General features: G+C 44.4%; 1 protein-coding gene across 5 annotated transcripts in view, besides 3 other annotated features; it reads left to right on the top strand.

Annotated features, from left to right (window-relative positions):
* AFAP1 (actin filament associated protein 1) overlaps positions 1-27,617 on the top strand; it is a 181,149-nt gene that overhangs the window by 15,056 nt on the left and 138,476 nt on the right. The window contains exon 1 of one of the 5 annotated variants that reach the window (XM_047416061.1): positions 18,612-18,674. The exons of the other annotated variants lie outside the window; for them this stretch is intronic. Coding sequence (XP_047272017.1) covers positions 18,659-18,674 — 16 coding nt within the window. The 5' untranslated portion in view covers positions 18,612-18,658. Of the gene's footprint in view, positions 1-18,611; positions 18,675-27,617 lie in introns of those variants that run through there. 5 annotated transcript variants of the gene reach the window in all.
* Positions 5,322-6,131: an enhancer, noted in NCBI's record as "H3K27ac-H3K4me1 hESC enhancer chr4:7920402-7921211 (GRCh37/hg19 assembly coordinates)". NCBI's record gives its function as "activates a minimal SCP1, AML or CMV promoter by ChIP-STARR-seq in primed H9 embryonic stem cells {active_cell/tissue: H9 hESC(primed)}" and the evidence as "EXISTENCE:reporter gene assay evidence [ECO:0000049][PMID:30033119]".
* Positions 6,132-6,942: an enhancer, noted in NCBI's record as "H3K27ac-H3K4me1 hESC enhancer chr4:7919591-7920401 (GRCh37/hg19 assembly coordinates)". NCBI's record gives its function as "activates a minimal SCP1, AML or CMV promoter by ChIP-STARR-seq in primed H9 embryonic stem cells {active_cell/tissue: H9 hESC(primed)}" and the evidence as "EXISTENCE:reporter gene assay evidence [ECO:0000049][PMID:30033119]".
* Positions 9,204-10,170: an enhancer, noted in NCBI's record as "H3K4me1 hESC enhancer chr4:7916363-7917329 (GRCh37/hg19 assembly coordinates)". NCBI's record gives its function as "activates a minimal SCP1, AML or CMV promoter by ChIP-STARR-seq in naive H9 embryonic stem cells {active_cell/tissue: H9 hESC(naive)}" and the evidence as "EXISTENCE:reporter gene assay evidence [ECO:0000049][PMID:30033119]".

Raw genomic sequence — 27,617 nt, 5'->3', positions numbered from 1 at the left:
AGAGAAGAGTCTGGCTTCCTGTCTGATGTGCTAGCCTGGCTGGCCTCCTGGCTGTTTACTGTAGATAGGGGGTTGGTGTCCTGGGCGGGCAGCTGCAGGTTGTGGTCTGAGTTCTGTCTTTATACACATGGTCAGGCATGGTCTGTTTGGATATTCAGTCCCTCATTTTTCTTGTCAGTAAAAATATCAAATGACAAATTGGATACACTGGGAATTTTTTAGATGTCTGTGTCCCCTGGAAGCAGTTTTCACGTTCACATTTAATCAGAGTGAATAGAAACAACTGGGCCATTTATCTTGAAGATTTAAAATAGGAAATCTTCAACAATAGTACCTAGGCGCCATTGCCTGTCTGTCCATCGTTAGGGAATCTGTTTTGATCCACCGCTGGCTCATCGTCCACCAGTATGTGGTTGATCCAGTTCTCTATACATCTTGTCTTTTGTGCATCTCATTGTTTGTTAGTGTTAGCTTTTCCACTTCATCAGTGTAGTTTATTTGTGTAACCTTTGTTGGTAGGAAGTTATTTGTGGAATTTGTGAATGGAAGGGACCTTGGAGGTTTGCTAGGTCAGCCCAGTGATTTTAAAGATAAACGGAACTACAGGGAAACGTTCCAGCTTTTTTGGTGGCAAAACCAGGAATAGAAAGCAGTATTCTTTCTGCCACAATGTCATTGAAAGACAACTAAATGTGGGCCTAAAATGCAGCATCACTAACTTTCATTTATCTCTGCTTCTGACTCTTGCTATCAGACATTTTAAATTGACCTTAATGTGTTAGCAGAAATATAAAAAGTACTGACTTGTTTGCATATAAGGTACCTTTTCTCCTGCTCATTTGGTTGTTTGTTTAACAGGATTGAAAAGACATTGTTATAAACTGAATGTTTATGTCTCCCCCAGATTCTCGTACTGGAGCCCTCACCCCCAGTGTGATGGTATTAGGGGATGGGACCTTTGGGAGGTGATTAGGGTTAGATGAGGTCATGAGCGTGGGCCCTGGTCTGACAGGATCAGTGGCCTTAGAAGAAGAGAAACCAGGCCGGGTGCGGTGGCTCACACCTGTAATCCCAGCACTTTGGGAGGCCGAGATGGGCAGATCACAAGGTCAGGAGATTGAGACCATCCTGAAACCCTGTTTCTACTAAAAATACAAAAATTAGTTGGGCGTGGTGGCATGTGCCTGTAATCCCAGCTACTTGGGAGGCTGAGGCAGGAGAATTGCTTGAACTAGGGAGTCGGAGGTTGCAGTGAGCCAAGATCGTGCCACTGTACTCCAGCCTGGTGACAGAGCGAGACTCCATCTCAAATAAAAAAGAAGAGGAGAAAGCAGAGAGCTCCTACTGCCCTGGTGTGAGGAAAAGAAGAAAGGTGGCTGTCTGCAAGCCAGGAAGAGGTCCTTGTCCTGGAACTGAGTTGGCCGACACCTTGATCTTGGACTTCCAGCCTCCAGAGCTGTGGGAAATAAACTAACGTTTAAGCCACACAGCCTATGGTATTTGCCTATGGTATTATGGCCATCTGAGCTGACTGATACAGAGATGGTTCCAGAATACTATAGCCTGTATTTAAGTTGGTGATGCCATGAAAATAAATGTGGTAGTCCATTCCTTTATATAAAGATAGTGCTGTGAGCCCAGGGCCTTTGCTTATGTCTTAATTGAGTCTTGTCTTCTTATAATAGCTTCCTAATTTCTCTTTTCCCTCTCTCATTTACCTTATATATCTGGATTAAATCATATATGGTATGATTTTCTGCTTTATGTCTATACAAATTCTTAGTGATTTTTTGCTCATTTTATTTTATTTTTGAGACATGTCCTTGCTCTGTTGCTCAGGCTGGAATGCAGGAGTGCCATCATAGCTCACTGTAACCCTAAATTCCTGGGCTCAAGTGATCCTCCTGCCCCAGCCTCCTGAGTAGCTCCTGAGTAGCTGGGACTACAGGTGTGCTACCATGCCTAGCTAATTTTTAAATTTTTTTGTAAGGACAGGGTCTTGCTGTGTTGTCCAGAGTGGTTTCAAACTCCTGGCCTCAAGCAGTCCTCTCACCTCAGCCTCTGAAAGCGCTGGGATTACAGGCATGAGCCGCCGCACCCGGCCCAGTGATTTTTCATTGTTAAGATCAAGGACAGGTTCCCCGGCTTGGCATTCAAGGCTCATGATCTGGGCATGATATGCAAGTTTGGGTTTCAGTGTTTCCATTCCTGTCATCAACCTTGCACTCCAGCTTGTTGCCTAAGCCCTGTTCTGAAGCCCAGCCTGAGAGCTGCACTTAGAATTTATACTTTCTCGTCTCTTCATCTTCTTCGCCTATGTTCTTATCTCCATCTGGGACATCATCTCCACACTTCTACCTCCTTAAATCTTCTCCATCCTTCAAGACTTGAAATACTCACTTCCTTTACATGATCCCTGCTCTGACATCCAAGCTAGAATTAATTTTTCTTCCTTTGAACTCTGATAGTACTTAATGTTTTTTGTCCTTTAATTACACAGCAGTCCTGTGTGTTAGGTATTATTATTCCCCCATTTTTTCATAGTTACATTGAAAATATGTACTATAGTCGTATATTTTGAATATGTAATATGAGCGATGGAGCAACATTCAAAAGGTCCTGGAGAGTGAAAGGAAGTCCTACTCCCATCATTGCCCTGTGACCACTGTTGCCAGTTTTTTTTCTTTTTTTTCCAAGATGGAGTCTCACTCTGTCGCCAGGCTGGCGTGATCTTGGCTCACTGCAACCTCCGCTTCCTGGGTTCAAGCGATTCTGCTGCCTCAGCCTCCCGAGTAGCTGGGACCACAGGCATGCACCACCATGCCCAGATAATTTTTGTATTTTTAGTAGAGACGGGGTTTCACCATGTTGGCCAGGATGGTCTCGATCTGTTGGCCTCGTGATCGCCTGCCTCAGCCTCCCAAAGTGCTGGGATTACAGGCGTGAGCCACCGCGCCCGGCCTATGTGTCTTCTTTTTAAAAACACAGATGTTGGCATAAGATAAACACTGTTCTCCACCAGTTCCCCATTGCTAAGTATTTAGGTTGTTCCCAACCGTTTGGATTAATCAATGCTGAGTTGTATGTAATTCTTGCATATTTGCGTGAATATGTGCATAGGATGCATTGCTAGAAATGGAATTGTAGGATCCAAGGTTCTGCGCATTTTAAATGTTGATGGGTATTGCTGGATTCCCTTCCGTTAGGATTGTACCATTATCTCACTGTCAATGTGTAAGGGCGCCTATTTCTATTTCCTTGCCAACAGTTTCTTCTCAGATGTTTTGTTTGTCAGTCTAATAGATAGGTTAAAAAAAAAGTGGCCAGGTGCGGTGGCTCATGCCTGTAATCCTAGCGCTTTGAGAGGCGGAGACAGGCGGATCACCTGAGGTCAGGAGTTTGAGACCAGCCTGGCCAACGTGGTGAAACCCCTGTCTCTGCTAAAAATAAAAAAATTAGCCAGGCGTGGTGGCGGGCGCCTGTAATCCCAGCTACCCAGGAGGCTGAGGCAGGAGAATCACTAGAACCTGGGAGGCAGAGGCTGCAGTGAGCCAAGAGTGCACCACTGCACTCTAGCCTGGGCAACAGAGCAAGACTCCATCTCAAAAAAAAAAAAAAAAAAAAGTTTTGCTCTCATTTTATAGGGTAGGAAACTGAAGCTGAGAGAGATTAGATAGGTCATCTACCTGGTCTCATAGGATGTGTGGTTCACTCAGGACCTGAATTTAGTCTTCTAATTTGAAAATGCATTTTCTTTGGAGGCAAACTGGTATTAAAAAAACCCATATTTATTTATTTATTTATGGATATATAGGTATACCTACAAAAATATATATAATATATAGTTTATATATTTAGCTTTTGACAAGTTAATACTGTAATTATGTACTATTTAGTCCCTCTCCTAGCCTATAAACCTTTTCTGTAGAAGATATTTTTCAGGTTTAGGGAATTTTTTTCTTGAGAGTCTGGGACAGACCTGTAAACAGTTTAGATTATGAAACAATATACATTTCTGTTTTTTAGTCTCAAACATATCGAAATTGTCTTTCGACTTTTCAGACCTTTCAAAATAGAGATTCGAAGGAAGAAGCCCAGGCTATTTGTCTTTTAGGGATTGCAGTTTCTTTGGTAAGAGAAAGGTTGGTAGCTTTGTTAGTAACCCTTTGACCTTGTGAATGTCTTTTGTGTTTAGTTAATTATATTTTCCGTATAACTTTGAAGATTGGGGAAGCAAGTGTAGTTTAGCAGTTAGCTCTCTTCCTTGATAATTATCTTTCCTTCTTTCATTTATTATAGTTACAGCATTAAAAACTGCCCATAAGGCCACTAGTTTTTGTCGTCACCAGAGAAAGATGACCCCAAATACGGACCTTTGCATTAGAAGTTACAAATTTTATCCAAAAAGTTAGCGCACAATAATTTGGATATTGTTAAACTTTCCAGATAGAGTATATGGGTTGAATATGAATTGTGTGTGTATATAAATATATTTATGATCTAGGAATTAACACCATTCAATTCAAAATGGCCAAATTCAAATACTGTTGGTGGGAATGTAAATTAGTTCAACTGTTGTGGAAGACAGTGTGGCGATTCCTCAAAGATCTAGAACCAGAAATACCATTTGACTCAGCAATCCCATTACCGGGTATATATCCAAAGGAATACAAGTCATTATGTTACAAAGATACATGTACGCGTATGTTCATTGCAGCACTGTTCACAGTAGCAAAGACAGGGAATCAACCCAAACGCCCATCAATGATAGACTAAAGAAAATGTGGTACATACACACCATGGAATACTATTCACCCATCAAAAGGAACAAGATCATGTCCTTTGCAGGGACATGGATGGAGCTGGAAGCCATTATCCTCAGCAAACTAAGGCAGAAACGGAAAACCAAACACCATGTGTTCTTACTTATAAGTGGGAGCTGAACAATGAGAACACATGGACACAGGGAGGGGAACAACACACTCTGGGGCCTGTTGGGGGTGGGGCGAGGGGAGGGAGAGTGTTAGGAAAAACAGCTAATGCATGCTGGCTGGGCTCAATACCTAGGTGATGGGTTGATAGGTGCAGCAAACCACCATGGCACACATTTACCTATGTAACAAACCTGCACATCCTGCACGTGTACCCCAGAACTTAAAAATTAAAAAAAAATAAAAGACTAAACAAAAAATCCGCAGGTTTCATTCAGTGAAACAGAAAATCCCAAAGCTCTTTCGCACATGGCTTGTTTATTGTTCTTAGGGCTGGATATTCGTATGTTCTGATAAGAACTCAATCGGCTCAGAAATGTCATTTCTTAGATTCTACTAAACGTTTGTGTAGGACCTGTTTAATGAAAACACAGGTTCCATTCAGCCATATAAAATGACACATCACACACCACAAAAATAGCCCCCTTGTTCCAAAAACACAGACATTTTACATTTCTACCTGAAGTGTACAGACGCTGACTGAAGCTCTGTGTTGCAGTGATGCGTGCTGCTAGGATTGTGGCTCTGTTTTGCATTTGCTAGCCAGGCTTCGGCTTTCCAGTCAGGTATTTTTTGTTTTGTTGATGTTGTTGCCGCCGTTGGGCCGGGATAATCTGTGTGAATTTCCCTCCACTGCTCAGTCAGATTCCCTTTCCGGGGGCCGGGCTGAGTGTCTCATCTGCAGCCCTGTTTTTCTAGTGATCTGGGCCTAGTGTCTCATCTGGCAGCCCTGTTTCTTGGTGACCTGGGCCGAGTGTCTCTTCCGGCAGCCCTGTTTCCTGGTGACCTGGGCCGAGTGTCTCATCCGCAGCCCTGTTTCCTGGTGACCTGGGCCGAGTGTCTCTTCCAACAGCCCTGTTTCCTGGTGACCTGGGCCGAGTGTCTCATCCGGCAGCCCTGTTTCCTGGTGACCTGGGCCGAGTGTCTCTTCCGGCAGCCCTGTTTCCTGGTGACCTGGGCCGAGCGTCTCAGCCCTGTTTGCGGGTGACCTGGGCCGAGTGTCTCTTCCAACAGCCCTGTTTCCTGGTGACCTGGGCCGAGTGTCTCTTCTGGCAGCCCTGTTTCTTGGTGACCTGGGCTGAGTGTCTCATCCACAGCCCTGTTTCCTGGTGACCTGGGCCGAGTGTCTTATCCGCAGCCCTGTTTGCGGGTGACCTGGGCCGAGTGTCTCATCCGGCAGCCCTGTTTCCTGGTGACCTGGGCCGAGTGTCTCTTCCGGCAGCCCTGTTTGCGGGTGATCTGGGCCGAGTGTCTCATCTGGCAGCCCTGTTTCTTGGTGACCTGGGCCGAGTGTCTCTTCCGGCAGCCCTGTTTGCGGGTGACCTGGGCCGAATGTCTCATCCGGCAGCCCTGTTTGTGGGTGACCTGGGCCGAGTGTCTCTTCCGGCAGCCCTGTTTGCGGGTGACCTGGGCCGAGTGTCTCATCCGGCAGCCCTGTTTCCTGGTGACCTGGGCTGAGTGTCTCTTCCGGCAGCCCTGTTTGCGGGTGACCTGGGCTGAGTGTCTCATCCACAGCCCTGTTTCCTGGTGACCTGGGCCGAATGTCTCATCTGGCAGCCCTGTTTCCTGGTGACCTGGGCCGAGTGTCTCATCCGGCAGCAGCCCTGTTTCCTGGTGACCTGGGCCGAGTGTCTCTTCTGGCAGCCCGGTTTCCTGGTGATCTGGGCCGAGTGGCTCCATGAGAAGTTGCACCCATCTTCTCCAGTAGTGCATCTTTTCACAGCAAGCAAAACATTTCCACCATGTTTCTAGGGGGCTGTGCACTAGTTCTTTTCTGGGCATCAGGAGACCTGGCTTTGTTCTGGTTCAAGCAACAGCTGGTGAGTTACCAAAGACAAGTCCCATCTATCCCGTGGTCCTTTGCTTTATAAGTAGAATGACAGTCGGAGTGGGCATCACTGCCCTGGTCTCTTTGCGGTGCTGAGTGTTGTGGGGATGATGACTAAGTGTCAGGTTGCGTTTCCACCTCTAGGGGATTGCAGTGCAGTGAAAGACGCAGGAGGAAAGCTAATAGCCCCGGGCAGGTACACAGAACCAGAGGAGTTTGGAAGGGTGGTTCCAAACTCCTTGGTGGGATTGATGTGATCACAATAGACATTTTATCTCTAAGTTTTGGGCCATTGGACCAAGAGAAGAGAGAGCTGGTGTTGAGTTGTAGTGAGAGGTACGTGGTTCATGTGCATGCTGAGCCTGGCCTGGATTCTGAGGCTCATTCCATTTTACCTTCTGTTTCGGCCTTCTTCATGCATCTGCTTGTTTCTCCAGAAAAATTGCAATAAATTCCTTTCAAAAACTTTACAAAAGCAATAGATGCTCATTAAAAATAGTTCAAATGATATGGAAGACAGAAAGTGAGTGTGTTTCTTTTGTGTTTGGATGAATGTGTCTTTGGGGTAGTCACTAATAACACTGGGTGTATTTCCTTCCAGATCTTTTCCAGTGTACCTACAAATATATATGTACACTTTGTAAAAAACAAAATAGTACTGATAAACATTGAGTCCCCCTACCCCCACTCAGCAGTCTACATGGATATCCTTTCATGACGATACAGTGAGACCTGATTGACTCCTTTTGTTCGCTGGAGTGCTAGGTAATGATAGCTAAAGATAACTCACCTTCAGTGGGCATTTACCATGTGACAGGGTCTGTGCGCCAGGCGGGCTACATGAAATGAGTCTTAAGGCTTTTTACAACAGTGCTATGGGTGAACACAGTAATTGTTAACATTTTGCAAATGATAGAATTGCAGTAGAGAGAAGCAAAGCTGCTTGCTCAAACTCATGGCACTATTCCTGAGAGAGAGAGAGAGAACACTTTTAAAACAGTTGTTATAATCAGGTGATTTACGATCATTTCAAGAAATAGTGCATTCAGTGAATACATTCAGTGTCTGGTACAGTCCGGGAGCTGTTCCTGAAAATGCACTGGGCTAGAGGTAAAGGGAGTGGTCCACTGGCCCTGGGCCCCTAGTGCAAGGAGGGAGGTCCCAGGGAGAGAGGGCATGAAGAGGAGGTCTCTGGACAAACCTTGCAACATCCCTTTCTGCTGAGTCTGGTCCGAGGTCTGGTTCTTGACATGTACACTTTTCAGAGATGCTTGGTTTTGATTTTTATCATGGCTCACCTGAGCAGCCATGGTTTCAAACTGCCTGGAGGTGTGGTCTGGAAGGCCAGTGCTATGCCCACCCTTCCCACTCCTGCAGGAGGGGGAGGGGAGTCATCCTGGGACTAGAGGGCTTCACGTATAATCAGCTATCATAGTAAGTGGACTTGATGCTGGTTTCGCTGGGTCAGGAAATTTCCCATTTGGAAGGAAAATTGATACTTGTTTTTGGGTTTTGCTGAGGAGCCACAGGGTTTAGAGCAGGGGCTGGAAGCTTTTTGAGACGCAAGTGAGTGCAATCAGACATCCTCCATGAAACTTGGAAATAAAGACGGTGTCCCAGAGAGGTCCCTGCCTTTGGGATATAAATATTTCTGTAACAGAATGGCACTGGATGTCTGCTGTATTGTTTTCTCTGCTATTTTGGCAAGTTTTATTTGGGTATGTGTCTCCTGTACAGAAGGCACGACATCGGTTTTTGCCACCAAGTATTTACAGCAGTTGGTACCTCCTTTGTGGGTCACTTTTGTGCCGTGGTTTCTTTGGGGAAATTGCAGGTCTCCTACCCAAAGCACATTGCCCATTTCAAGGTGCTCCTGGTATCTGAACACCTAAGGCAGTGCCTTCCAGGTGGGTGAAGCCAGCCGAGGAAGTGCCTCTCCCCAGCAGGTGGGGACTGGTGATTGCGTAAGTGAGGAGGCCGGGGATGAGCCCTGGACTAGAACTTGTGACTGGCTGCTTTTCTTTCCCGTCCTCTCCCTCCTATTTTTCCACCACCCCCACTTTTAAAAAAATTCTTATTAAAAATTAAGTAATTATTTTGGTTTCCTTTATCCGCTATTCCTTGCTAATTGTATGTAGAGTGAGCCTGGGAAAGTGAGAAAGAAAGTTGTACTTAGTTTCAAATGATCATACCAGCTACTCTCCATTGAGGGGCTTGCCGCAGGGCGGCTTTGTGAAGTGGTTTTGTGGGGGTTCTCCTTTCAGTCCTCAGCCTTAACCAGCAGAAGCAGGTGGTACTTATTCCTGGTTAATGTTGAGGAAGTTGAGCTCAAAGTGGTTAAGGGACCTTCCCAAAGTCACATTAGAAAGTAGCAGCATAGAACTAAACACAGATTGTCTCTGAATCAGGCAGGTCGTCTGGTTCCAAAATGGGCTCTTAACTTTTGGAGGTCAAAAAGCTGAACAGACACAGATATTTCTTTTTCCTTCTTCTTCTTCTTTTTTTTTTTAGATGGGGTTTTGCTCTGTTGCCTGGGCTGGTCTAGGCTCAAGCAGTCCTGCTTTCTCAGCGTTCTGAGTACCTGGGCTTACAGGTTGGAGTCACCACACCCAACCGAACAGACGTTTCTTGAAAGAAGATGTACAAATGGCCAAAAAATATGTGGAAAAAAATGCTCAGTATCATAATCAGAGAAATGCAAATCAAAACCACAGTGAGAAGACAAAAAATAACAAGTGCTGGCGAGGATATGGAGAAAAGGGAACTCTTACGCACCGTAGGGGGGAATGTAAACTAGAGCAGCTGGCTGGGCGCGGGGGCGCACACTGACATCCCAGCACTTTGGGAGGCCGAGGCGGGCAGATCACCGGATGTCAGGAGTTTGAAACCAGCCTGGCCAACATAGTGAAACCCTGTCTCTACTAAAAATACAAAAATTAGCTGGGTCGGTGGATCACGCCTGTAATCCCAGCACTTTTGGGAGGCTGAAGTGGGCGGATCATTTGAGGTCAGGAGTTCAAGACCAGCCTGGCCAACGTGGTAAAACCGCATCTCTACTAAAAAATACAAAAATTTGCTGGGTGTGGTGGTGGGCGCCCATAATCCCAGCTACTTGGGAGGCTGAGGTATGAGAACCTCTGGAACCTGGGAGGTGGAGGCTACAGTGAGCGAGCTGAGATCGCGCCACTGTACTCCAGCCTGGGCAACAGTGAGACTGTCTCAGAGAAAAAGAATAAGAGTAAGCTAGTGCAGCCACTATGGAAAACAGTATGGAGGTTCCTGAGAAAACTACAAATAAAACCACAGTGTGATCCAGCAGCCCCACTACTGTGTAGATACCCAGAGAAAAGGAAATCAGTGTCGGAGGGGCATCTGTACCTCTGTGTTACCTGCAGCGCTGTTCACCGTAGCCAAGATATGGAATCAGCCTCGGTGTCCAGCAGCACATGATGGATAGAGAAAATGTGGTCTTTATACACAGTGGAGTACTATTCAGCCGTAACACAGGATGAAGTCCTGTTATTCTCAGCAACGTGGGTGGAACTGGAGGACATTATGTGAAATAAGCCAGGGACAGAAAGTTAAACACCGCATGTTCTCTTATGTGGATAACAAGAATATATATAGTTTCAGGCTGGGCACGGTGGCTCATGCCTGTAATCCCAGCACTGTGGGAGGCCGAGGTGGGTGGATCACCTGAGGTCAGGAGTTAGAGACCAGCCTGGCCAACGTGGCGAAACCCCGTCTCTACTAAAAATACAAAAATTAGCTGGGCGTGGTGGTGGGTGCCTGTAACCCCAGCTACCAGGGAAGCTGAGGCAGGAGAATCGCTTGAACCTGGGAAGCAGAGGTTGCGGTGAGCTGAGATCGCGCCACTGCACTCCAGCCTGGGCGACAGAGTGTGACTTTGTCTCAAAAAAAAAAAAAAGAATATATAGTTCCAGATACTTGAAGGAAGGGTATTGAACGTTACCAACACAAAGAAATGATAAATGTTTGAGATGGTGGATATGCTAATTACTCTGATCACATACATTACATGTATTATAACATCACTGTATGTACCCCTTACATATGTACAGTATACAATTATGTGTCAATTAGAAAAAGCTGAACTTAGATTGGAATGGCTATGAAGCAGCTAGCTTTTTCATATTTTTGATATAGACCCTAGGCATTTATTTTAACTAAACTTGGCTTCAGGAAATGTGTAGTATTTGAATTTTAGCTTTGCATTTTATAATATAGAGAAGTAAAACTTTAGGCTTGCTTTAGATACAGTCACAGGGGTTTGCAGTGATGACTTTTTTATGTAATAAGTGGGAAATATACCTTAATTAATAGGCATACATGCTCATTTTCTTCCTCTTACACATTTTTAGTTGTTGTCCAGGCATTGTGATACTTATGTAAACAGTATGTGATATCTTAGGTAGGAATCAGAATTTTAAGGTAAGGATACTTAGAGTTATATGTTTTTCAAACTTTCAAGCTGGACATTTTACATGTCCATTATATAATTGTAATTAAAGTTTCACAAAGACAATACCCATCTTTAATATGGGTGATGCGCTAGCATTTTTTTTTTTTTTTTTTTTGGAGACAGGGTCTTACTGTCTCCCAGGCTGGAGTGTAGTGGTGCGATCATGGCTCACTGCAGCCTCAGCCTCATAGGCTCAAGAGATCCTCCCACCTCAGCCTCCCAAGTAGCTGGGACCACAGGTGTGCAACACCATGCCTAGCTAATGTTTAAAATTTTTTGCAGAGACAGGGCCTCCCTGTGTTGCTCAGGCTGGTCTGGAATTCCTGGGTTCAAGTGATTCTCCTGCTTCATCTTCCCACAGTGCTGTGATTACAGGCATGCGCCACTGTGCCTGGCCCCATATAAGTGGGATGATGACTTGAGCCTAGGAGTTGCAGACCAGCCTGGATAACATGGCACAAGATCCTATCTCTACAAAAACTAAAAAAATTAACTGGGCATGGTGCCACCTGCCTGTGGTCCCAGCTACTCCAGGAGGCTGAGGCAGGAGGATAACTTGAGCCCAAGAGTCAAGGCTGCAGTGAGCTATGATCTTGTCATTGCATTCCAGCCTGGGTGACAGAGTGAGACCTTGTCTCTTAAAAAAAATTGCTGTCTACCTGATTATTCATAGAAAAAAAACCTGAACTCTGATCTAAACCTCATACCTCATACAAAAATTAACTCAAAATGGGTCATGGACTAAAATGTAAAATGCAAAATAAAGATGAAAAGAGGAGCTACAGACTGGGAGAAACTAATTGCAAGCCACATGTCTGATAAAGGACTTACATCTGTAATACATAAAGAACTATCAAAATTTAGCAGTAAAACCAAACCATCTACTTTGAAAATGAGTAAAAGACATGAAGAGACATTTCAGATAACATATAAGCAAGTGAAAAGATGTTCAACATCATTAGCCGTCAGAAAAATGCACGCTAAAGCCACATCACTATACACCTATCAGAATGGCTAAAATAAAAAGTAATAACAAAACCAAATGCTGGTGAGGATGCAGGGAAACGGAATCACTCACACTTGGCTGGCAGGAATGGAAGATGGCACAGCCATTCTGGAAAACAGTTTGACAGTTTCTTAAAAAACTAAATGTGCAATTGCCATAGGACGCAGCACTCACATTCATGGGCAGTTATCCCAGAGAAATGAAGACTTAACCTTCACACAAAAGCCATATGTATCTGTTCATAGCAGCATTATTTATAAAACGCCAGAAACTGGAAACAGCCCGGACACCACTCAGCAGGTGAATGGTTAAACAAACTGGTGCACCCAGGTCCCGGATACCACTTTGCAATAGTTAATGACGTCCTTGTTCATCGGTCTTTCAAACTAGAAACCACCATCATGCATAATACCCTTTTTTCCATCCTGGGTCTGTGTGGACTTCATTTTGCATTTCTTTCAAATGCATTTTCTCTCTGTCCTTTCTGGTTGCGCCTCATGCTGCATTTGAACTGTTGTAAGAGCCACCTAATAACTCTGCCTTATCATGGAATCCTTTCTATATTTCATTCCCCGTGTTGCCATTGGAACAATCTTTCCAAAACATGAACAAACTAACTTAAAAGAAATATCCCAGGTAGCCTTCCAAATAAGTGTAAGCTTTCTCTTAGAAGATTTACTTCTTGTCTATGGAGAACCCCAGGACTCTAGAGAGATGGATTTGCTGTCTGCATTTTAATATCAGGCAGAAATCCCTGGAGGGACCCGTGTGGAATAGTGACACAAGTACTGGTTCTAGAATCAGAGGCCCTTATATCCTGGTTCTAATACTAGCTGGATATTCTTGGGAAAGTTTTGGTTTCATAAACTCAGAAACTCCATTTCTTAAAAAATGGAGATGAGGAAGCATACTCAAGGGATCACGCAAGGCTGCTGGGAGGAGCGGATGAGGGGCATGGTGAAAATGCTGTGCAATCCGTAAAGCATGTCATTTGTGTGAGAAGTGGAGCTGTGTGAATAGCGGCTCTGGAATCATTGTATGAAAATGATAGAAAGCACATTCATAGTTCTGCCTGATGATATCACTGGGCGCCTGTGTTGTACATGCCTGCAACATGGGCGAGGCCCGGGTCAGTACAGCTCACAGTTTGGTTTTCATGCACTTAGAAAGGCCCAAGAGGACCCTTCCCCCCTCCGGCTGTAGGAAGGAGGCGGCTGGCTCCTGCCTATATTTGGTGGGATTGTCTCTGGCTCCTTAGGGACAGGAATGCAGGGAGTGGGGGAAGAAAGCCGTCCTGGCTCGCTAGTCAGCCTTCCCCCAGGGAGGAGTGGAGGGGTCATTTCGTGGTAACTTGCCAAGTCTTTCTCAACCCATCTGCTCATAGAAATGACCAGCATGACAAGTAAAAGACCCGTTGGAGACAGATGGGCTGTGTGTCCCGTGCGTTTATGGCTTTGTGGCCTCAGAGCTGCCAGGACTCGATAGCTTTCTGGGGAATGCTGGGTCAGCCAAGGGGCTGAAAAAAGTGAGAGGAAGAAGATCCACCCCTCGGTGCTCTGGTCTGGGAGTGATTACTGAGGAGAGTGGCATGGAGGGCCCAGTCGTGGGGTGCCTCTCAAGCACGCCCTCACCGCAGTGGGAATACGTGTCTCAACCTCCCTAGGCCTCCGTGATTTTCGTCTATCACATACTCACCTCCAGCAGAGATGTCTATGGTGACGAGATGAGACAGCATCATAGCACATGTGGCCACTTAGTAGGCTCGCAGTGAGTGGACGCTGGAGTCAGTGGAACAGGAGACTGGGTGCTGCCTGTGGATGCACTCACGTGCTCGTGGCACGGGTGAACGGGGGAGAGAGGGATGCTCTGCAGTTCTTCTTTTGGTCTGTTACTCCCGCTGTTGTGAGCAGAATCCGTGAGTGTAGTCTGTTGCCCCACTTGACTTGGTAGGCTGATTGCTCAATTTTCTGCTTCCACTTTTGATTTCTTAAGAATGGGAAAAGGAATACTTCAGTTACTTTTCTGGTTGATGGCATAAATTCCTTGATATCACCTTAATGTTTTTTTATTTCTATGTATTTTGAATTCTGGAGGTTGCCTAACATCTCTTGTTTTTATGCCTCACCCTCTCTGTAACTGTTGGCCACACCAAGACCAGAGAGAAGTGACCAGGCCGGTTGGTAGCAGGGCTAGGACTGGAATTCCCCAGTCTTTTGACTCCCAGCAGGCTCTGTTTTCTGTATTGCACTGCTTTTCCCTGTTTCGACTCCTGTTAGGACAGTGGATGTGAAATGTAGCTGGGCGCTTTTGGGGGTGTGCTAGGAGTGTGGCAGATGCCTCAGACTGGCATTTTTCCCTGATTCTGAATTTTCATGGCTCAGAGTCAGTCCCTAGGCCACTGACCGGGAAGATACAAGAAGTTGTTTTGTATGGCAGCCTATACCAGGGTATTTTTTTCACCCGGCAATTTATTTGGTTTGGACTGGAATAAATCTCTGAGATTGGCTTCTTTGCCAATATTATTAGGGAGTGGAGCCTGATTTGTTTTAGCCCGATTCGTAGTGCTTAGCATCTCAATGAATGTGTGTTGAACTGAGCCAAGGTGTGAGAGCGTCTTGGACAGTGGTTTGCAACCCTAGCTGCATCTGGGGGGCTGTGAAAAAAGCATGCATGCTGACTCCAGACCAGTTGAAATAGAATCTGCAGGAATGGAGCCTGGGCAGCTATAGTTCTGTTAAAAACCCCCAGATGGTTCTGATATACAGTAAAAATTGAGATCCACTGATCCACGGTGAATTGGAGTCCTGAATCATACACATGCCTTATGCTTTCACTAGCTTAGAATGGCTCTTGCGCTTTGGAACCATGAAAAAAATGTTATGCAAACAAATGTGGAAATTGCCTAAATGCCACATCCTGTTACTACCTGCCGTGAAGTATATTTGCCGGTTATTCACTCTATTCCGATCTCTACCCATTCCACCTTTTCTTCATGAAACAATAATTTGACAGTTGGTTATGCAGAACCAGAGTAAGTCTAGTTTGATTGGCAGGAAACGATTTTGGGTATGAAGTACTCTTTAGGTATTTATTGAACTCTTGTTTGTACCACTGCTGTGCTGGACAGTTTATAAATAATACTTCTTTAAGCAAGGGCTATGGAGTCAGGCTGCCTGGGTTTTGCTAACTAGCTGTGTAATTTGGGGCAAGTTTTTAAACTTATATAAACCTGACTTTCATCTATGAAATGGGATGACAAGGGGTCATCATCTAACAGGATTGTGCAAATATGTGTGCAAAGTGCTTAGTTTGGTGCCTAACACATAGTAACTGCTCAGTAAAGTTATTATGACACCACCATCATCATATTTAAATGTAAATATTAAGAGCTAATGAATTTGTAAAAGGTAGTATACCCTTACCCCTCGAACCAAAGACTACTTTAGTTTTAAGTGATTGGGTTAATTTATCACTTAAATATTGGCCTCTTGAATACCTTGAATTTCAATTGAATGTAGCCAGAGGATTTTATAATTGGACCGTTGCCTCTAGAAGTTGGAGCTTTGTTTGTTTGGTTTCACTTCCTACACTAAGCACGTGGCTATGTGCACCTTTATGGTGACTTCTGGTACTGGGGCATCAAAGCTTCATTAGCTTCTTTGGAGGAGATGATCTTATGCTATACGAAGCACTCAGACTTCGTTAACTATGCATCATCCAGACAAGAACAGGTGCTTCCTATGGCAGCCTGTCCTTTTCTTAGCTCTCTCATCAATCTAGCCTGTTCCTTCTATTCCTCTTTATACTAGAATTTCTCTTTGAACAAGGAATGTTGTTTTGCCACTGCTAGGTCCCCAGCAATTAGTGATGAATTAGGCACCTAGTATGTGCCTCCTAAATATTAATAGATGATAATCTAGCAGAACACAAGATAAATCCACAAGTTGAGATTTAAGCTGTGTGGTATCAAAGCTGCATTGGTAAACTTATTAAATCAATTAAATCAATTTTGTTAATACAAGTTTAAAATATCTTAGTAACTGACTTAATTCAGTAATCATTTACTGAGTGTCTTCTAGGCTAGACATTGGGGACAGAAAAGTGATAATATATGATCCCTGCCTCATGCACAGGAAGCCTAGTGTGATGCCAAGGGCTGCCATGGAATATGGCGAGTATTAAGATAAAGGGGCACCCTGTGTGCCCTTGGAGCATAGAGCAGGGCTTGTGTTCTGGGAACTTGGGCTCCATGTTAAAACACAATTTAAATTAATTTTTTTTTTTTTGAGACAGAGTCTTGCTCTGTCGCCCAGGCTGGAGTACAGTGGTGTGATCTCGGCTTACTGCAACGTGCTCCCCCCAGGTTCAAGCGATTCTCGTGCCTCAGCCTCCTGAGTAGCTGGGATAACAGGTGTGTGCCACCACGCCCGGCTAATTTTTGCATTTTTAGTAAAGACGGGGTTTCACCGCATTGGCCGGGCTGGTCTTGAACGTCTGACATCAGGTGATCCTCCCGCCTCAGCCTTCCAGAGTTCTGGGATTATAGGCGTGTATGTATTCATGCTTTTAAATATCTGTGGGTAGCACTTAACTTTAAATGGGTGCTAATTAAACTATTGAATGGCTTTAGTATGGATTAAATGGCTTTGCTCAGGCCTCATTTTTAATTTCCTTCATTAGAGGAAAAAAAACAATGCAGATTGAATATCCCTTATCTAAACTGCTTGGAACCAGAAGTGTTTCAGATTTTTTTACATTTTTGGATTTTTGAATATGTATTATACTTGCTGGTTGAGTATCCTGAATTCAAAAATCCAAAATCTGAGCTGCTCCAATGAAGATTTCATTGGGCGTCACGTCAGCGCTCAAAAAGTTATAGATTTCGGAGTTTCTGGTTAGGGAGACTGGTCCTGTATGGGTGCTGGGTTGTTGCAGGAGTTCTGGACCAGAGGTTAGGTGACTAGGCTTTGGTTTTCACTTTGTTACTAAACAGGCTATTTTCTTCCATAATCTCAGCTTTAGATCCCTCGGTTGTCAAAGAAGGGGTTGGGCCATCTGATGTTTAAGGCCTCTGTTAGTTCTGACTTTGAGATATCTGGTTTCAATTCATCTTCCTTAGGCATGGACAAAGAACATGGGAATTTTGAAATTGTTAGTCAACATTTACAGGGACGTTGCAGCCTAGTTTTGGGTAAAGGTCATCTTTAGTGAGCCCAGGGAGAAGCAGTGGTTTAGCTGTCAGCTGAGGGGTAAGTGGTCCTATAAATTTTCCTCTGTTTTAGCAAAAGCATTGTTAAGGTCACAGCATTAGTGGAATTAGCTGGAAAGAGGAGGGGAACTCACTGTTACAAGTTGTATTGAATGTCTTTTAAGTCGCTAAATGCTTTTTATGAATATGTTTTTCAGGATTTCAACGTTGTAGCATTTCTCTGTGTTGCATAGCACAGGAAATTTAATATCATCATGTGACATTTGAATTTTTTTTTTTTTTTTTTGAGGTGGAGTTTTGCTTTTGTCACCCAGGCTGGAGTGCAGTGGCGCGACCTCAGCTCACTGCAACCTCCGCCTCCCGAGTTCAAGCGGTTCTTCCTCCTCAGCCTCCCGAATAGCTGGGATTACAGGCGCCCGCCAGCATTCTTAGTAGAGATGGGGCTTCGCCATATTGGCCAGGCTGTTCTTGAACTTCCGACCTCAGGTGATCCACCCGCCTTGGCTTCCCAAAGTGCTGGGATTACAGGCGTGAGCCACCGCGCCTGGCCTTGAATGTTCTTTCTGTGGGAATCTACAAAAGCCAGCTTTTGAGTCTAGTGGCAGAAAACCTCTTCGTTGTTTAGCTGTGCTGTGAGTTTGGAGGGCTTCAAGCCCATCTGAAAAAGCTGTAGTATTTTATGTCAGTTGGCTGTCTTGGAGAACTTAATGAGCACTGGGCCGGAGTGATACTGTCAGAGTTCATGAGCTGTCTGAGGCTCTCGAAGCCTAGATACTGCGGTTGCCCAAATACATTGGCTGGACTCACTATTTTTCTCCGGAATAGGGGGGTGGAAAATGCTGTAGTCTTAACTCTGCTCTTAATTTTGCAGTGCTGTTATTAATGATAAGAATGATTTCATACGTTTGTTTTTTGCTTCGTAATTCACAGAGAATTTTAAAATCCATTATCTGATTTTATTCCCTCAGCAGTTCTGTGAAAAAGGCAGGGCAGCTTTCATATCTTCTGTTGCCCCCTGATTCTCTTGTGGCTCACAGAAGCTAAGAGCCTTCAGCGAGGTCATAGGGTGAATGAGTCGCAGAGCTGGGAGTAGAGGCTCGGGCTTCTAGTAACCCTGTTTCTTTCTCGATAGGTCACTCTCATGGCGCTTTGCTCAGGTAACTCTGCATGCTGGGTTTGGTCTTTTGTAAATCCCTGCCCTGTTTGGAGAGAGGTTCTTGGGAGGTTTCTATTCATTTTGGAGCATTGAGGTATCTTGTCCTCTCTCCCTCCTCCCACATGCATGGGCATTTCAGCAGGCCCCCAGGCTGGCCCTTGTGCGTGGGGGTGTCTCCTGCCTCCACGTTGCATGCGTGTCCCCCTGCGGAAGGTGCTCTTCCCGGCATGGAGCCCCCTTATGCCTGCCTCCACACTGCAGGCTGTTTGGTAAATGTTACTGACTCAGCATCGTTGTTCTAGAAATGGGACGGGGTATGGATGCCAAGTTCTTTTCTGTGTGAAGGTTGTGATTGTATCATCTTGCCTTCCCTGTGTGTGCTTCTTGAGGAGGGTGTCACTGTGCTGCGGTCATCTGTGTTCCCTAGGGTGCTTCCCTTGGAGTCCTGGCTGCAGCAGACATGCAGTCAGTGCTCATGGCCTAAATGAGAGAAAGGCCAACAGAGCCATTAAATCTGGAAAATGACAAGTGAGGGAAAGGAATTTTTATTTAAGGCATGTGAAAAAGAAATCTTTTTAGAAAAGTTGACCTGTTTCTCAACTGGAGTTGAATTTCAGCTCAGAAAAGCAGCTGTGCGCCCAGAGGGCTTTGGGATTTCAGTTTGTGACAGATGAATTTAATTTGTTGTTGTATGAATGTATTATCCTTTTGTGGTTTTATTAGACCTTTCTCCCAAATGGAATAGATTTTTCTATAAAAGTCACACTTCCTTTTTGAGAAGTATAACACTAATTTTATGGGATGGTCTCCCAAAAGATTACCTGCTAGGAACCAAACACGCTGCCTCAGAATCATGGCCCCTGGTTTCTGCCTGTGCAGCTGCAGGGGAGAGAGGCACGCTTGATTTCAGCTTGAGCTGAAATCAAGACACATGTATGCATCTTGCTCTTTCTTTCCTTCTGTTTAGTCTCTGAGCTGGCATGCCTTCAACTTCTAGGAGCTTGGTGGGTGTAGACACATTACGGTATGGAGGAGGGATATGGTGTTGCAACAGCCAGGAGACTCGCTGCAGTCTCTGTTCTCTCCCTGCTCACTGCTCTGATTTTGTATAAGTCACATTTGTAGGGCTGGGCACAGTGGCCTAAACCTGTAATCCCAGCCCTTTGGGAGGCCGAGCTGGGAGGATCGCTTGAGCCCAGAGTTCGGGACCAGTCTGGGCAACATAGCAAAACCCCATCCCTACAAAACATAAAAATTAAAAATTAGCCAGGTGTGGTGGCTCATGCCTGTAATCCCAGCTTGAGAGGCTGAGGTGCGAGAATCTCTTGAGCCCAGGAAGTCAAGGCTGCAGTGAACCATCATCGCGCCACTGCACTCCAGCCTGGTCAGAGCAAGACCCCGTCCTAAAACAAAACAAACAAACAAACAAACAAACAAACCATTTGTAATAGTGGCAGTAGTTAACTTTTGAAAGTTTGGAGAAAAGTTACTAAATAACCTGTGACCATGGACAACTTACTTAATCTTTCTATGCCTCAGTTAACTCATCTATGAAAAATGAGAGAATATGGTACTGATCTTACAGGATTTCAGCGAGAACTAGACGAGATAAAACTCAGAGCCTGGCACCTCGTGAGTGCACACTAAATGTTATTATTTCAACATTTTAGAGGAAAAAGAACGCTAATGGGTCATTATGGCTAAACATAGTCTATCACTGGCGTTACTCATGGTATTGGAAGGAACTTGAATTCCATATAGATAGTGTGATGGAGAAAGTATTTTGGGCATTGGCAGTATTAATTCAAAGAACAAAGGACCTGTCTGTCATGTGTGGAGAGCCGTTTCCGCTTGTTTCTTTAAACGCTATGGGAAAAGCAGTCGGCCCCGTGCACTCTGCTGGACAGCTTCAGTCTCCACGTATTGGTTTGGCCAATTGTCATTCGCTGTCATCATGGCAGCAGCAGTTGAAGGGACAGCTTGTCTTGATTTGCATTTTTGGGTGTTTGTGCTATTTATAGACAATTAAGAAAAGACATGGAAGCCTGTTTATGGCAAGCTGGCAAATTCAGCAAAACATGGAAAAATCTGTTAGCACAGTTTGCACGTGTGCAGGCACAGAACAGCCAAATAAACACACACATTTTCCTGTATTTTAAAAACTCTCTGGAAAAAAAAAAAAAAGACATTAAACCATTGCCCAGATGGCTTACAGAGCTTTTTCCTTGAAGTACATGAGTATGGCTGTCAGACATCTGAAACCCGAAGCCATCTTAAAACATCACCATCATTTTGATGCTGCCCGCCCGCCTCCTTTTTTTCCATTTGTGAGGGACAAGGATCCAGGAAGGAAAGTATCAGCTTACAAAGGCTTTTGTTACAATTAATCTTTCATGTTCTTTCTTTTGGTATCTTATTCTCTGCTTATATTTTATTTTTATTTTTTATTTTTTTGAGACACAGTCTTGCTGTGTCACCCAGGCTGGAGTGCAGTGGCACTTTCTCGGCTCACTGCAACCTCTACCTCCCAGGTTCAAGTGATTCTTGTGCCTCAGCTTCCTGAGTAACTGGGATTACAGGTGTGCACCACCATGCCCAGCTAATTTTTGTATTTTTAGTAGAGACGGGGTTTCCCCGTGTTGGTCGGCTGATCTTGAACTCCTGAACTCAGGTGATCTGCATGCCTAAGCCTCCCAAAGTGCTGAGATTACAGGTGTGAGCCACCGCGCCTGGTCGCTGTTTCCACTTTGTAACGCTAGCGTCACCCCAGTGTAGGGTGGCTAGGGGTATTCTTCTTTCCAGTTTCCTGGTGTATTTTCTTCTACAGCATTGATTGCTCTTTAACATACTTTTTGCTTGTCTGTCTCTACCTACAAAAATATATGTTCCCTGTTATATGACCAGTGCCTGGCACCTAGATAGTTAGTCAATATTTGTTGAATGAATGAATGAATCAATTGGCTGAAAGAACCTTATTCTTCTTTCTTCTGTCACTTCATGACAGATGCTTTTGGAAAATGCTCTGTGAATAGGGATCATAAGCAGGAGAGATTACACACATTGTTGTGGGATAGCCCATCATCCTCAGATACTTGCCTGGAGGGAGGTGGCGCAGATACTTGCCGGGAAGGAGGTGGAGTACTTGAGTAGAAATGATACAAGATAACCTCTTCAGGAAATCAGCCAAGTATCATAGCTTTTCACATAGGTGTGTAATGTTTGTGTATGTGTGTATGAAGAGCTGTTGTGGCCTAGAATCAGGGGCCTTTAGATCCCTTGTACAGATAGAAAAGTAAAGGCTGAGGCCCAGGAGCGCTCCAGGCCACTGCGGTAGAGTCCCTGTCTGCCCCTCCCAGTGCCTGGTCACTTCTCACTGCACTCCCTGCCTTACTGCTAAAGCCATCTTCCCCGACTCTGAATGTGTAACCGCAATGGAGAATATGTACTCCAGGGTCACAGTTTGTGGAGAAAAAGCCCAGCAGATGAAAATTATGTTCACAAGGTTTGTACCTAGAAAGAGTGGCCATTTCTATGATGTCTTTAAATGTCCCTGTTTCTCATACATTTTATAAACACGACAATAGAAGGAGATTCGGAAACAGCAACTTTAGAACAAGGGGAAAAAAATCAAACCTAGAGCATTCCAGTTTCTGTTTTCTTCTCAGTCTAGGGCTGAGGCACTTTAGCTTCCTGTCTAAGGGACCACTCAAATCTGATTAGCAGCCATTGTGGGCTGATAATTACCCATAATTTTAGGAAGACAGATGCAGCACCAACTCTGTTCTCTAATAGCAGGCTTATTAATTTTAAATTTGCATGGCAGGAGAAGCAGATGGCGAGGTGGGATAAGCGTTCAGATGCTTGGTCATTGATAGCTTTTTACTTCCACGCATCACATGGGGATTTGGGACCCGGGAAGCCCGCTGAGAACTGATTATTATCTGTCCCCTAACCAGCTGGGTTCTTTTTCATCCTGAGCTCAGAAAGATTGCTCCTATTGCAGTCAGAGAAGACGGGTTGTTGACTGGTTAGAAATCATGGCAGGTTATTTGCTCCACCCGCAGTTCGAAAGCAGAGCTATCAAAAGTTGTCTTCTCTATTGTGTTTCAAATATGGGTGTTTAAAAAATTATATAAGCAAATTAAGCATTTCTTTAATGGTAGTTGTGTGTGTTGTTGATGCAAATGAGGGGTGCATTCCACTATAAAATCTCTGGGACTTTATAGGAAGATGTGAGCCTTAGAACAGAAGTTGGTTTTCTAGATGATCACGTAGATATGATGCTGAACACCAGACAAAGATGCTGATTGAAGTGATTTTAAAAAATTGTGTCTGAGTTCAGATTTTACATCAATATTTAGAAAAACAGCAAAGGAACTTGGAGGAATGTTCTCATGCATCCAGTTCAGCCCCCTGTCCACATCTTCATAAAATCCGAGTGTGTGTACAGGGAGGCGCATTCCTTTCCGTTCTCATCACAGGTCCTTCCCTGGCTCTGCACCTGCCCTCTTCCCTACCTTCCCTATCTTTTCCCTCCTGTGCGGTTCTCTCACAAAGTGAATGGCCTCAGCCACAGCTTCTCTGCAGCTGCATCAGACTGTGGCGACAGGAGTGGGGCTGCTGCAGGGGCTGCTGTCCCCACGGAGACCGGTCTTGCTTGCCGCTGCAGCCTGGTGATCATTTAGCACCGGAAGTATGTAATTCCGCACAGTGAGAGCCAACATGCTGGTGATGGAGGCGTCTTTATCATGGTGCTCTGCATATTTTAATCTTCGGTGGAAAGTATGGAAAAGTATGTGATACCTGTGATTTGATGTCAGAAGGACGTTGTGAACTTGATGTGGAGTGAGGATGTTAAGGTGCAATAGGCACCCTTGGCTTCATTAAATGAGACTTCCCCATCTCCCTGCTAGGCACGCACAGGCATATGGCCACATCTTATGTGTTATCCTTATTTAGAGTATGCCTTGTGGTCATGCTTAAAGTTACATGATTATATTCTTCCTCATAGGGTAGGTCCCAAACTGCATTCAACACAGAAATGTACTCTTGCTGTTATACATAGAAAGTGCTTTCATATACCAAGTGGGAGAGCAGTCCTAAAATCTGCGCTGGAATCGCAGAAGGAAGGCATTGGAAAGCAACAGATTCCCTAGCCCAAAGCTGTTTTTTGATGAACATAGAAACAGGACCAAGAGAAGTGAATTTGCCTGAGGCCCTGACGGTGTCTCAGGGTAGCATTTGAACCTAGCAGTTTCTTGACCTATTTCTTTAAATGATTAGTCGTGCTTCCTCTGATTCCTATATAAACGTATTCCTCACTCATTCTTTTGTTTCAGTGAATTATTGCAATGCTACCACGTAACAGTATTTGAGTCAAAATGTTGCAGTGTTTATCCGTTTCCAAGGTTTTTAGTTGTACAGTTTTTCAAAGTTGTGCTTATAGTTTCTTGTTGGTTACAAGGTACCCTTTCAGAAGCCAATTGTGTGGTGTATTTAAGTTGATTGTTAGAGGTAGTTTGGTTATAACCTACTTGGAGTCGCTGGCGTGGGCCTGGGGGACAATGACAGCTGCCTGCTTCATGGGCAGAGATGAAGTAATTGCTTCCTGGGAAGCACCATCCTCCTGGCCACACTGTCCAGCCGACTTAGTTTGTGTTGGTTTCCTCACATCTGCACGTTTCTGGCTTCATTTGAGTCTCATTTATTTTAGCATACAACTTCAGGCTGTGGGGAAGAATGGCCATTTTAGCTGTGCTAAATGCGCAGCTAAATGTGCTAAATGCTAAATGTGCTAGATGCGCACAAAGGAACAATTGGCTAAATGTGAGCAAAGACATTCTTGGGGGGGTTTCATTTCTTTTATTCTGTAACAGGCAGTCTTGGAAGCATTCTGGATGTGTGGCCTCCTCTGTCACAGTTCCTTCTTGCAGGATCGCAGATTTTTGGAGATTTTAGTGATAACTGTTATCATTGAGAATGGCATTCTTGCAGGCTCTAATAAGTCAGGATTTATTTGGTGTTAATTTGTTAAAGACAACTGTATTTCTAGCCAAATACATGTTGGATGTTCTCCTTGCAGAGTTGCTGGGGGTATTTGCCATGGCTTAGTCTTAGGGAAGCACATGCCTTTGAATGCTGTTGAAGCTGTGAGTAACCAAAACGCACCTGAGTACTTTTGCCATATGAGGTGTTAGTCACTGATACACTTCTCATTCAGACCTGATGGATTCTTGACCCCTTCCTTTTTTATTTATTTATTTATTTATTTATTTTTAAAGAGCACAACCCCTCAGGTGGCCAGTATGAATCTTTGGTGTTTTCAGTTGGTTGAAGCCTATTTGCCATCTCTGGTTCAAACATATTCGAAGCCTGCTGATGCTTCCCTTTGTTATTCTTCTGCTGTCTAACCTCGGCTCCTGTAGGGTTCAAGACTGTCAGAGCTGGGAGCCACCTTCACAATTAACAGGGTTTTCAGAATCTCCTTTATCTAGCCCTGGGGATGGAAGAGATGTTATCAGAGGTGGAGGCTTATTAGGTTTACATGCCATTGATAATGAATGAGGAGGTTTTCTTTTATATAAGCGGAGCTTCTTATAATGTGCTTTAGTAGGGTAAAGAAGTTTTTGAGGTCTGCCTTTCTCGAGGGAAGATAATTTGTGATCCTGCCCTTGTTTTCAACAAAAATATAATTTGCATACCAGTGCATGTTGTATTATTGAGCACTGACTGACAAACGGTTCTTAACTCGTCATTCACCCAGCCACTGTTTCTTGAATGGCATATGTGTGACAGCTGTAGTAGGAACTTGCTAGGCTCCAGGACTAACCCTTATGAAACGGGGGTCCTGGGGGAAGCAAATGCGTATAACTGTAAAAGTTTGTGAGGATATCAGTGGGGGCGCCTATAGGTGCAAAACTTAGTTCATTCATTGCCCTATCTAGGAGGTTATGTGTCTTAGCAGCATGTTCCATACCAATGCATCTGTCTATTAAAATATTCATCATATTATTTTGAAATTCTCTGCTTAGGTATGTATTTTTCCCACTAAGTTTAGAACTCGTTAAGGACAGGCTGTGGGGTATGTATTACTTATATATATATATACACACACATATATTTATATATATACATTTGTGTATATACAATACCATTGTATATACACAAATGTGTATATATACACATTATATATACATTTATATGTTTTTATATATACACACATATATATTTCTCCCTCTCTGTATATACACACACCACACACACATATATATACACATACATATATATGAAATAGACACACACACACACACACACACACACACACTTCTACTGCCCAGCACAGAAAGACAAAACTAGGCAAGGGTTCTTTTAGTGTTCGTGAAAAAATAGATGTGCTTAGTTGAGAGCGTCCTTAAGTTGCCAGGGGAAAGACAGGATGGGTTCACAAAGGGAGAGAGTGTTTTTTTTTTTTTTTTCTTCTTTTTCTTTGTTTAACTCTTGAATTTGAAATAATCCAGACTTATGGAGAAGTTGCAAAAATAGTACAGAGAATTCCCGTATGCTCTTCCCTCAGATTGCCCAAACATTTCACCCCATTTGCACTTTCTCTTTCTGTGGATATAATTTTTTTTTCCTGAAATGTTTGAGAGTGGAAGGTAGAATGCAGGGTAGGGTGAAAGGCGGAAGGAGAGAGGTGGGTTGGGAGGCTTTTTTTTTCCCCTTCTGAGATGGAGTTTCACTCTTGTCACCCAGGCTGGAGTGCAATGGCATGATTTTGGCTCACTGCAACCTCTGCCTTCTGGGTTCAAGCGATTCTCCTGCCTCAGCCTCCCGAATAGCTGGGATTACAGGTGCCTACCACCATGCTCGGCTAATTTTTTGTATTTTTATTAGAGGGGTTTCACCATGTTGGCCAGGCTGGTCTCGAACTCCTGACCTCTGGTGATCCACCCGCCTTGGCCTACCAAAGTGCTGGGATTACAGGCGTGAGCCACTGTCCCCGGTGATTGGGAGGCTTTTCCAGTAACCCAGAGCACTATGATGAAGGCTGGACCTGGTTGGGAAGGATGAGGAAGGTGAGGAGTGGTTAGGTCTGGCACATACTTTGAAAGGAGAGTTTAAGTGGTTTGGATGATTAAGGATGATGTCAAGGATTTTGGCCTGAGTAACTAGAAGACTAGAGATGCTGTTATTGGGATGGGGAAGACTATGGGAGGAGTGGGTTATAGCAGGGGGAATCAAAAGTGCGTTTTGGGCATGCTAAATTTGAGGTCCAAAAAGAGATGCCACGAAGTGTTGCCTGGGTGCGGTGGCTCATGCCTGTAATTCCAGCACTTATTCCAGCACTTTGGGAGGCCGAGGCAGGCGGATCACCTGAGGTCAGGAGTTCGAGACCAGCCTGGCCAACATGGTGAAGCCCCATCTCTACTAAAAATACAAAAACTAGTCAGATGTGGCAGTGCACGCTGGTGTTCCCAGCTGCTCTGGAGGCTGAGGCAGGAGAATTGCTTGAACCTGGGAGGCTGAGGTGCATTGAGCCAAGATCACGCCATTGCCCTCCAGCCTGGGTGACAGAGTGAGACTCCATGTCAAAAAAACCACAAAAACAAACAAACAAAAAAAACAAGCGCTGGGGAGAAAAAGCAGAATGCAAGAGACTCCAAAGAAGATGAGTAGTTCCCAAGATAGGATTAGCGGATTCTGTGATCAAGGAGAAGAAGCATCTGAATGCACACAGGGCTAGCAAGAGGCTGTAGCTGTAGTTGTGTGTTCAGCTCATTTATATGGAATTGAGCCTACAGTTCTTACATGTTTTCCTACCGTTTGTTCGTAAACAGCAGGTCCTCAGTTTGCATAACTGAATTTACTCTGATGTCCTGTTTTTCAAAATTCATCATCAACAGCTTCCTTGAAGGTGTGTTTTCATTATTTTTCATCACCTCTT

Source organism: Homo sapiens, chromosome 4 (genome assembly GCF_000001405.40).
Source record: "Homo sapiens chromosome 4, GRCh38.p14 Primary Assembly".
In the NCBI taxonomy this organism is placed as follows: Eukaryota; Metazoa; Chordata; class Mammalia; order Primates; family Hominidae; genus Homo; species Homo sapiens.
Note: the sequence above shows the minus strand (reverse complement) of the source record. Positions and strands in the feature narration are given on the sequence as shown.